General features: G+C 40.9%; 1 long non-coding RNA gene across 1 annotated transcript in view; it reads right to left on the bottom strand.

Moving 5' to 3' along the window:
• Nucleotides 1–12112, bottom strand: part of GCLC-AS1 (GCLC antisense RNA 1) — a 75418-nt gene that overhangs the window by 21714 nt on the left and 41592 nt on the right. The window contains exon 3 of the long non-coding RNA NR_183318.1: nt 11011–11100. This is a non-coding gene — a long non-coding RNA (GCLC antisense RNA 1). The remainder of the gene's footprint in view (nt 1–11010; nt 11101–12112) is intronic.

The following is a 12112-nucleotide window of genomic DNA, read 5'->3' as shown; positions in this document are numbered from 1 at the left end:
CACAGGCTATGTCATTTTTTCAATACCAAGCCCTGTGAAATGGGTACTATCAGACCATTTTTACACCTGTGGCTTAGAAGACTTAAATGTCTAGTGTAAGGGCGGTTGTAGTGGTAGGCAGAGGCAGGTCTCAAACCCTCGCCTACCTAACTCAGACACACTTGGCAATACTATATATCTCTTTAAGCCTTTCAGAGGATATGTTTTAGGAGGTGGATTGTTCCATTTTATATATATATGAACATGATAGACAGACAGATAGATAGATAAATAGATAGAGATAATTTTAAACGTGCTCACTTTCATTTATGAAAATTTACATTTGATAACTAAAAGAGCCTTGCAATTCCAGCATCTCCCTCATGGTGGCAGTAGAAGACTAAGTCATGTACACGCAGCCTCCAGCACCAACAACTAACCCAGAAGAAACCTCCTTAATAAATCAGCTTTTGGTCAAGATTGGTGTTACGTAAAATGCAAAATTAGGACCCTCGGAAGGGGAAAAAAAGAGTCTCAAGTATCTAGGTTATTGACCCCAGAAACAAAAGAAATTTGACAAACTTGCAAAACAGAGACAACAACTTCCTATGGGGGAAAAAAAAACAAAGCAACTACTTGTTGCTGCCCACCCGTTTAGTAACTGGCCTTGGTAGTCTTCCAGCAGCAAGCACAATAGCCTTGTCCACAGATGCTTTTCCCATTTCCTCGGTCCCCTTGAAACCAAGCTTTTGAGAACAAATAGTTTATTTCTCCTTTCTTAATTTGCTCTGAAGGTTTTTAACACAGCGATAACTGGCATATAGAAATTTCACATATTTTTCTTGATCACTATGGCCTATCAACCCCCGCCTGATGATTAAATGAAGGACGATGTATCCAAGGTTCTTAAAGAACTTGGTTGCAACGAATGAACACAAAAAACACCAGACAATAAACATGTATTGAATTATATCTGGGTACAGTAGACACCATTGGGCAGACTTCAGAATTAGCCCCCGGAAGTTTTGCTTTTGCTTGACTCTTGGTCATAGCTGATTGGACTAGAAGTGAACACCTGACTCAGGAGGAGGAAGTTCATTGGCTGACCAGGAGCCAATTAGGGTCTCTCTCTTGAGAACTCTGACTAAGAGACAGAGATGCAGGTTATTTAGTCCAGTTGCGGGTGTAGCATTAGACAGATATAAAACCCAAGAACTCTTGGTACTGAGGCCTGGTTGTTCAACTTTCCTCGGATTTTAGGGGGTGACCAGGATCCCTCCCAGCAAAGTATCATTTTTGTTTAAGCTTAATTTCAGTGGGTTATGTTACATGCATTCTCCATCAAAGACTCCAAGCCCTGTGCAAAGTGCAGTGAGGGCATACAAAGAATTTATGACATTTCCCTGCTCTCCTGGGTATGGGTAATTTTCCTTGCTGTAGAGAGAACAGGGTCTCTGGAATTCAACCCACCTTTGTGACCCTGTGAATGTTCCTTTTTTTCTCTCTCAGAGATTCAACTTTGTTCTCAGTAACATGGAAATGATAGCATCTGCCTAACAGTCATTTTGAACAGGAAGCGTCCCTCTGGCCGGGTGCCTCGTGCATGGCAGATTATCAGTAAATGTCAGCCTCTGCACTGCTTTGCAAGTAGGTCCTTTGGCCGCTCTCAAATGCAAGTCACACAAAGATTGTGGGAGTTTTTTTTTTTTTTTTTTAAATAGAAAATACATCATTCCTATAGAGAAAAAAATACAGTCACATTTAATAATGGCTGTTTAGACAGGGACAGGTTCTCTCGAGCCTCTGGAGGTGGTGGAAAGTGGAGGTGGGTCACTGATCCCAAGAAATAAGCTACAGGACTGAGGCCAGTTTCTGGAGAGGGGATGGTCACTCCTATATTTAAGCCAATAGTGAAGGTTAAGTAGGAGAGTCCAGAGGGACCCTTGAGCCCACTTGCTTGACAATATTGGTGCAGGACAAGTCTAACCCTCCTAACTGGGCAGCTGCCCCCTCCCAATAGTGGTCTCTCTTATGGAGAAAATTTTTACCCGATCAACTTATTCTCGTGAAGCACAAGGGCCTGATATGAACACCCCTTCTGTAGGCATTTTCAAAGAACTTAGTGAGGGTAACAGAAAGAAAAACCTCTATGCATCGAACTTCAGGCACCATCGGAGAAATGTCTTTTCTTAGATTGGCTTTCAAAGTATCTTTAAATCACCCTATTACAAATGGGGTATTAAATAGCCTGCTCTGCCTAGAGAAAAGGTTCCCAAGATTCCTTGTAGCTGCTGGGAAGTTACTGAAATCCTCAGTGACGTGTTTTGAAAAAGTGTTGACAATACAGCGGAAAGTTGCATCTGGCAGCTAACAAATATTTCTTGAGGGTCCACTCGATGCCAGGGATTGTTGCCCTGAAAATGCAAGGCTACCAAAACAAGCAGTTCAGGCCCTCAAGAACCCTGAATGTTCATGAGTACCCACCAAGTGTCACATAGAGCTTATGTCTCAGATGTTTTTCACAGTCCACCCCCCCAGGATGCATTTCCAAATTCTGTGGAGAGCCTAGAACTGTTTCCTCAAAGCCCTTTAGAGCAGTGAGGCACCAATATCTCTCTTTATTACTCCTTTTTCTTTTCTTTCTTTCTTTTTTTGTTTTTGTTTTTTGTTTTGTTTTGTTTTTTTAGAGATGGAGTCTCACTGTATTGCTTAGGCTAGTCTCAAACTCCTGGGCTTAAGCAATCCTCCCATCTCAGCCTCCTGAGCAACTGGGACTACAGGAGAGCACCACCATGCCCAGCTTTATTACTTCTTTTTAAAAAATAAAACTTTTTTTTAAAAGCAGAGAACGTGCTCATTCATTCTGCAGCTGGATCTTGAATAACTTTTCCACTTTGAGAGTTCTGACCCCAAAAACATTGCTGTCACTTTCCAGGTGTTCTATCCTTCCTTGGACCCCATAGCCTGGCTGCCCAGGTCAGACAAGTATGGAACATTTGTTTGTGAGGACAGAGACAGCCACTGGCAACATACCGAGGTATTACAGAGACTTGCTGTGAAGCAAGGCCAACAAAACATCACTTACACAATCAAATAACAAAGAGGGGCATCTTTTTCAAAATTAAAGGTCTATGTGTAAATAAATTCTTTCTGAAAAATAAACAAGATATGAGATAAGGATCCAGGTTTGCTTTGGTATCACTATGGTTACTAGAATGATGTTCAAGACATTTTCACCATGTTCTCCTCCTTTTGAATGCACGCCACAAGTAAAGCATGCCTGAGTTTGGTCTAGAGAGCCTAGGGTGCATTCTCTTTCATGGATGTAGAAGGGATGCAGTTAGCACATTGCTAGTCTTAAAAACAAACAAAAATCCTAGGGAAGATCCTCTCCTTTACTGGCTCAAAAAAGCCCCTGGTAAGAAAAAGTTGTTATACTATTAATGACATGACTGTTTGGTATTGTAAATATCACTCTCAATCAACCAGTATTAGTGAGCACTTCTGAGCACACTCACCATAAGAAGTCATTTACCCGATGGTTATTGAAACTGTTCCATATGAAATTTTGAATTAGTTGCTCAATGTTCTCATTTTTGCCACAGTGTTTTTCTTGACCTAGAGACATACTCAGTTCTATTCCTCATAAGAACAAACTCTTAACTTTGTTCCTGTAACCTAGACTGAGGACTCAGAACTGACCTCGTTTCACTGCTGCATAATACCATATTTCCTGTTTGACAAAGATCCTACCTTGAGCTTGCAAAGACTCCCTGCTTCTTAAAACTGAAACTGGACCCCTTCCTTACACTTTATACAAAAATTAATTCAAGATAGATTAAAGACTTAAATGTAAGACCTAAAACCATAAAAACCCTGGAAGAAAACCTAGGCAATACCATTCAGGACATAGGCATGGGCAAAGACTTCATGACTAAAACACCAAAAGCAACGGCAACAAAAGCCAAAATTGATAAATGAGATCTAATTAAACTAAAGAGCTTCTGCACAGCAAAAGAAACTATCATCACAGTGAACAGGCAACCTACAGAATGGGAGAAAATTTTTGCAACCTACTCACTTGACAAAGGGCTAGTATCTAGAATCTACAAAGAACTGAAACAAATTTACAAGAAAAAAACCCCATCAAAAAGTGTGCAAAGGATATGAACAGACACTTCTCAAAAGAAGACATTTATGCAGCCAACGAACATATGAAAAAAAGCTCATCATCACTGGTCATTAGAGAAATGCAAATCAAAACCACAATGAGATACCATCTCACGCCAGTTAGAATGGTGATCATTAAAGTCAGGACACCACAGATGCTGGAGAGGATATGGAGAAATAGGACTGCTTTTACACTGTTGGTGGGGGTGTAAATTAGTTCAACCATGTGGAAGACAGTGTGGCGATTCCTCAAGGATCTAGAACGAGAAATACCATTTGACCCAGCGATCCCATTACTGGGTATATACCCCAAGGATTATAAATCATTCTACTATAAAGACACATGCACACATGTTTATTGCGGCACTATTCACAATAGCAAAGACATGGAACAAACCCAAATGCCCATCAACGATAGACTGGATAAAGAAAATGTGGCACATATACACCATGGAATACTATGCAACCATAAAAAGGATGAGTTCATGTCCTTTGCAGGGACATGGATAAAGCTGGAAACCATCATTCTCAGCAAACTAACACAAGAACAGAAAACCAAACACCACATGTTCTCACTCATAAGTGGGAGCTGAACAATGAGAATACATGGACACAGGGAGGGGAACATCACACACTGGGGCCTGTCAGGGGTTGGGCGGACCAGGGGAGGGATAGTATTAGGAGAAATACCTAATGTAGGTGATGGGTTGATGGGTGCAGCAAACTACCATGGCACGTGTATACCTATGTAACAAACCTGCACGTTCTGCACATGTACCCCAGAACTTAAAGTATAGTAAAAAAAGACTCCCTGCTTCTTAGTCATTTTCCCTGATAAACATATAAAATGATTGATCATGAATAGAGAGAAAAAGGCACAAATAAGGACAGGAGGCAGTAGAACATAGAGCTCAAGGAACAAGGTCTCTGGCATCTGATTGCTTGACTTTAACTATGTGACCTTGGGGAAGTTACCTAACCTGCTTATGCCTTAGTTTCTTCGTATGCAAAGTAGGGATGGTAATAATAGCACTTACAGAGTTGTGAGGATAAAAGAACTAGTACAAGTCAAGCATTTAAGATAGTGCTTATAGAATAGTAAGCACTCAATAAATGCTAGCTATTTTTCTAGCTGAGTGCAGTTTTAAAAAATTATCCTTAAAAAAAATTCAAAAGACTACTGTAAACTTTAAGTTGATATAAAACTCATAGCAAAACATCATCAAGAAAATGGAAAGCTAAGCCGGGCACGATGGCTCATGCCTGTAATCCCAGCACTTTGAGAGGTCGAAGCAGGAGGATCACTTGAGGTCAGGAGTTCAAGACCAGCCTGGCCAACGTGGTGAAACCCCGTCTCTACTAAAAATACAAAAATTAGCTGGATGTGGTGGCGAGTGCCTGTAATCCCAGCTACTCAGGAGGCTGAGGCAGAGAATCACTTGAACCCAGGAGGTGGAGGTCACAGTGAGCCGAGATCATGCCACTGCACTCCAGCCCGGGCCACAGAGTGAGATTCGACCCGCCCCCACCCACCCCCAAAAAAAATTAAAATGGAAAGCTGAATAGCTAGCTGGGGAAAATATGTGACACAATATAACAAAAGGTGAATGTCCTTAATATATAAAGAGTTGGTAAACATTGACAATTAAAGATATTAAGACTGCCTAGAAAAGGCAAAGGATATGAAAAAAAATTCACAAAAAAGGGAAAGCTTGAAAAGCCGTCTTGTGTTAATGGATTGGAAAACTTAATACCGTTATGATTGAGTACTACTGAAAGTGATCTACAGATTTAATGCAGACTTAAACGAAATGTGACATATACATTTCACACCAGTCAGAATGGCTGTCATTAAAAAGTCAAAAAACAACAGATGCTGCCAAGGTTGTGGAGAAAAGGGAATTCTTACACACTGCTGATGGGAAAGTAAATTAGTTCAGCCTTGTGGAAGGCAGCTTGGTGATTCTCAAAGAATTTAGAACTACCATTCAACCCAGCAATCCCATTATTGGGTATATACACAAAGGAATAAAAATCATTCTAGGATAAAGACACGTGCGTGTGTATGTTCATTGCAGCACTATTTACAATAGCAAAGACATGGAACCAACCTAAATGCCCATCAATGGTAGGTTGGATGAAGAAAATATGGTACATATACATTATGGAATACCACACAGCCATGGAAAAGAACAAGATCATGTCCTCTGCAGCAACAGGGATGGAGTTGGGGGCCATTATCCTGAGCAAACTAGTGCAGAAACAGAAAACCAAACACCACATCTTCTCACTTATAAGTGGAAGCTAAGCATTGAGTACACAAGGACATAAAGAAGTAAACAACAGACACCAGCACCTACTTGAGGGTGAAGGGTGGGAGGAGGGTGAGGATTGAGAAGCTACCTGCCTATCAGGTACTATGCTTATTACCTAGGTGGCAAAATACTCTGTACACCAAACCCCTGTGACACACAATTTACCTAAGTAACAAACCTGCACGTGTACCCCTGGACTGAAAATAAAGGTTAACAAAATAAAAACAAATAAAGATTTAACAAAACCAAAGGTGGGAAAATGTGGTTGGTATATACATGCAATAAAATATTTAGCCTTTAAAAAAAGGAAATTCTGACACATGCTACAACATAAATGGACCTTGAGGACATGCTAAGTTCAATAAACCAGTCACAAAAGGACAAGTATTGTATTTTTCTAATCATATGGGGTGTTTAGAGTAGTCAAATTCAGAGACAGAAGGTAAATCATGATTGCTGGGAACTATAAGGAGAGGGAATGGGATATTGTTGTTTAATGAATGTATAGTTTCAATTTGCAAGATGAAATGGGTTCTGGAGATTGGTTGAACATGGATTTACTTAACTACAGAACTGTACACTTAAAAAATGGTTAACTGGTAAATTTTATGCTATATGTATTTTAACCACAATTAAAATTTTAAAAATAAAAATTAAGAAAAAAGGGAAGGCTAGGCCGGGCATGGTGGCTCACGCCAGTAATCCCAGCACTTTGGGAGGCCAAGGCGGGTGGATCACCTGAGGTCATGAGATTGAGAGCATCCTGGCCAACATAGTGAAACCCCGCCTCTACTAAAAATACAAAAATCAGCTGGATGTGGTGGCACGTGTCTGTAATCCCAGCTACTTGGGAGGCTGAGGCAGGAGAATTGCTTGAACTTGGGAAGCGGAGGTTGCAGCGAGCTGAGATTGCACCACTGCACTCCAGCCTGGGCGACAGAGAAAGAATTCATCTGAAAAAAAAAAAAAGAAAAGAAAAGAAAAAGGGAAAGCTAATGAATGAATAGAAAAATAAACAAACCTACTTGTAATCAAGGAAATGAAACGGGAAATGGAATTAATTTTTGCTAACAAAATTGGTAGAGTCGGGTTTTTTTAAGAGTATAATACACAACACTGGCAGAGATAAAGCAAAATGGGCACTTTCCCACACTTCGATAACACTAACCTAAGAGCTTTAAAATATTCATATTTTTACTGAGATAGTCTATTTCTAGGAATCTATCATAAGAAGATGATCAGAAATGCAAAGTGCATATTATATATATATATTCATGTATATCAGTATAACAATATCTCTTCATAGTGCTACTTATAATTTTAAAAAATTAGACAACCCAAAGTAAGTCTACTGATACAGAAACAGTTATAAATGTTATGTTTTGGAATGAATGGTATGTAGCATTTGCAACTGCTAGAAAAGGTATTTATGAATAATTTTTAATGACATGATAAAATAATCATCATGTGGTTTTAGTACATGACACAGATCATGGAGCCTGATATGCAATAAAATAACAACTATGCAACAAATACAAGTAAGCATACTAAAAAGAATGGAAGCAATTTGAAATATGCACAGTGATTTCCTTTAGCTGGTCAGATTTTGGATGGTTTTAATTGTTTCTTTATACTTTTCTGTCATTTTCATTCTTTTACGTAAAGTGGATCTAGGAACACTGCAAGGCCTCCATGGAAGATGCTGTCTTTACTTTCAATCTCATGCCAGATCTGTTAGCCAATGGCTCTCAACTAATGGACATTAGGGTTAACATCAATTAACTCTTCTTCAATTCTCAAATTTATGTTTGTTTGTGTTCTAGACTCCAGTCATAAAAGATAGCCTTAAAATATTACTACATGTCAATGATGTGAGATTGAGGAAAAAATATATAAAAATAAATTAAAAATAAAAAATAATAACATTACCAAGTTTTTAGTTACTAGCTTTTTGTTGCTCTGTGGTAGTAAAATACATATACAAGAGTATTATTATAACTTTTCAGTGACTAATGGCATTATTTTTTGTTTGTTTGTTTGTTTGTTTGTTTGAGATGGAGTCTCGCTCTGTTGCCCAGGCTGGAGTGCAGTGGCGCGATCTCGGCTCACTGCAAGCTCCACCTCCCGGGTTCACGCCATTAAGGGCAATTTTATATATATATGTGCTCCTAACAATACCACTACAATTTTTATAGTCTTAAAATTTGCCATAAGCCAGCTTCTTTCAACTTTGTTCTACAGAGCACCTTTCTAAAAGGTGTTACCAGGTAAGCCAAGTTTGAGAAAACCTGCTCTTTTTTTTTTGTTTCCCAAACTTATTTGACCATGGACCACTTTTATCAAGCAGTGTCTTTTAAAAACATCCCATGAAACTGTGTTTCCTAGGAACCCATTTGTGAATGCTGCAGTAATATGTATGGTAACAGAATGCTAGTGAATAGGAGAATGTATTTTCTGGAAAATGTAGGATTTTTGTTTCTACTGTAATCATACCTAAAATACTTTATAGATGGGTTCAAGAATGTTATGGACTGAACTGTGTCTCCCTCAAAATTCATTTTTGAACTCTCTTAACTCCCAGTATCTCAGAATGTGACTTTCTTTGGAGATAAGGAATTTAAAGTGGTAACTAAGTTAAAAATGAGGCCATCAGAGTGGGCCCTAATACAACATGATTGGTGTCTTTATAAGAATAAGAAATTTGAACACAGACTCACAGAGAAGAAAGATTATGTGAAACCACAGGGAGAAGATGGCCATCTACAAGCCAAGGAGAGAGGCCTTGGGAGAAACCAATCCAGCTGACACTTTGATCTAGGGTTCCTTGTCTCCAGAATTGTGAGCAAATAAATTTCTATTGTTTAAGCCACCCAATCTGTGGTGCTTTGTTATGGCAGCTCTAGAAAACTCATGTAAATGGTGTACAAACACAAACATCCCTGTACAGGCCAGGTGGGAGGGCCCTGATAGGAGTATTTGACTGTCAATATTGTTTAGAATTCTGGGAGCATGGTGTTAATAACAAAGACTGATTTTTCAGTTGGTTTTATTATTGCTTTTAAATTTTCCACAGACAGTGTGTCTCCTTGCTGCCACCTTCACCAATCCTCTTGGCACACCATTAATGTCAATCAGTGTTGTTGGTTGAATTGTATCCCCACAAAAGACATGTTGAAGTCCTAACCCCCAGTACCTGTGAACTTGACCTTATTTGGAAAAAGGCTTTTGCAGATGTAATCAAGTCAAGATGAGGTCTTATTGGATCATGGTGGGCCCTAAATCCACTGATCAATGTCCTTATAAAAAGAGATATTTGGAGACACACAGACACACAGGGACAAAGGCCGTGTGAAGATGGAGGCAGAGATTGGAGTTACACTGCTGCAAATCCAGGAACGCCAAGGATTGCCAGCAACCACCAGAAACTAGAAGAAGCAAGAAATAATTTTTCCATAGAGCCTTCAGAGGGAGCATGGCCCTGCTGACACCTTGATTTTGGACTTCTAGCTGCTGGCACTGTGAGAGAATAAATTTCTGTTGTTTTAAATTGCCCAGCTTATTATATTATACTTCATTACAGCCAATCCAGGAAACTAACACAATCAGGAAAAGCTGAAACTTATTGATTACTGACTTAAACAGTCCTCTTCCTATTTAAAGTCTATTCACCGTTTGGGATACTAATTACAGACTTACCTATTTCTCCTATTCTGAGCCCCCAGTTGATTGGTCACTCAGAAATGATTGAAGGGAGGTAGAGCAAGATGGCTGGATAGAAGCTGCCACCAATTGTCCTCTCCACAGGGACACCAAATTGAACACATATCCACATAAAAACACCTTCATAAGAACCAAAATTTAGGTGAGAGATTACAGTACCTGGGTTGAACTTCGTATAACTGAAAGAGGCACCCAGTGCTGCCCTGTCACAGCAGAAAGCAACACCAGGCAGAACTCAGCCAGTGCCCATGGAGGGAGCATCTAGACTAGCCTTAGCCAGAGGAGAATCAGCCATCCTAGCAGTCGAAACCTGAGTTCCAGCAAGCCTTGATGCTGTGAGTTAAAATGCTCTGGGGTTCTAAATAAACCTGAAAAACAGCCTAGGCCACAAGAACTGCAATTCCTGGGCAAGTCAAGGTGCTATGATAGGCTCAGAGCCAGTGGATTTGCGGAGCATGTAACGTAGTGAGACACCAGCCAGGGTATCCAAGGGAGTGCTTGAGCTGCCCCTCTCTGAACCCCGGGCAGAGCAGCTCACAGCTTCAGAAGAGACTCCTTCCTTCTGCTTAAGAAGAGAAGGAAGACTAAATAGGACTTTGTCTTGCAACTTGCATACCAACTCAACCACAGCAGTATAGAGTACTAGGCAGAGTCCTGAGGCTCCCATTCCAGGCCCTAGTACCCAGACATTTCTAGATACAGCTTGGGCAAGAAGGGATCCTATTGCCTTGAAGGGAAGCAGCTAGTCCTGGCAAGATTTATCACCTGCTGAACAAAGAGCCCTTGGGTGCTGAATAGTCAGCAACAGTACCCAGGCAGTACTCACCATGAGCGTTGGGTGAGACTCAGAGCTGCGCTTACTTCAGATGAGACTTGGCACATTCCCAGGTGTGGTGATTATGAGGGACTGCTTCTGCTTGAGAAAAGGAGAGATAAAAGTAAAGGGGATTTTGTCTTGCAGCCTAGGTACCACATCAGCTACAGTGGGGTAGAGGATCAAGTGGACTTTTGGTGTCCCTGATTCCAGGCCTTGGCTCTTGGATGACATTTCTAGACCTGCCCTGGGGCAGAGGAAAGCCCACTTCCCTGAAAAGAGAGTCCCAGGCCTGGAAGCACTCACGACAAACTGACTGAGGACTCCTTGGGCCTTGAGTGAACATCGGTGGTAGCCAGGCAGTACTCGCCACAAGCCTGGGGTGGTAGTGGCCATGGAGGGAGACTGCTCTGGTTGTGGAAAAGGGAGAGAAGAGTGAGAAGAACTTTGTTTTCCTGCTTGGGTGCCAGCTCAGCTGCAGTGGAAGAGAGTACCAGTTAGATTTCTATGGCTTCTAACTCCAGTTCCTGGCTCCCAAACAGCATCTATGGACCCACCCAGGACTGGGGAACTCATAACCCTGAACAGAAAGACACAAGCCTGACTGGCTTAATCATCTGCTGATTGTAGAGCCCTTGGGCCTTTGAGCAAACATAGGCGGTAGCCAGACAGTGGTTACTGCGGACCTTCCGCAAGACCCATTGCTGTGCTAGTTCTAAGTCTAACACAGAGCAGTGCCAGTGATGGTGGCCTCAGAGGTGTTTGTGTCAGGCCTCCCCCCAGAACAGGCAGCTTTGCAGAGAATGAGAGAGAGAGAGAGAGATGCTGTTCGTTGGGGAGAAAGTAAAGGAAGAGAACAAAAATTTATCTGCCTCATAATCCAGGGGATTCTTATGGATCTTATCCAAGACCACCTAGGTGGTGCCTCTGTGAGTCTACAAGAGACACACCGTTGCTGAGCTTGGGGGGCCCACAAATGCAGATACTGGTGCAATGATCAAAAACTTAGATAACAACACCAAGTCCCTTCAAATACCTGAAACTCTTTCCTAAAAAGGACAAGTACAAACAAGCCCAGACTGTGAAGACTATGGTAAATACCTAACTCTTCAAT

Source organism: Homo sapiens, chromosome 6 (genome assembly GCF_000001405.40).
Source record: "Homo sapiens chromosome 6, GRCh38.p14 Primary Assembly".
NCBI classification, from domain to species: domain Eukaryota; kingdom Metazoa; phylum Chordata; class Mammalia; order Primates; family Hominidae; genus Homo; species Homo sapiens.
Note: the sequence above shows the minus strand (reverse complement) of the source record. Positions and strands in the feature narration are given on the sequence as shown.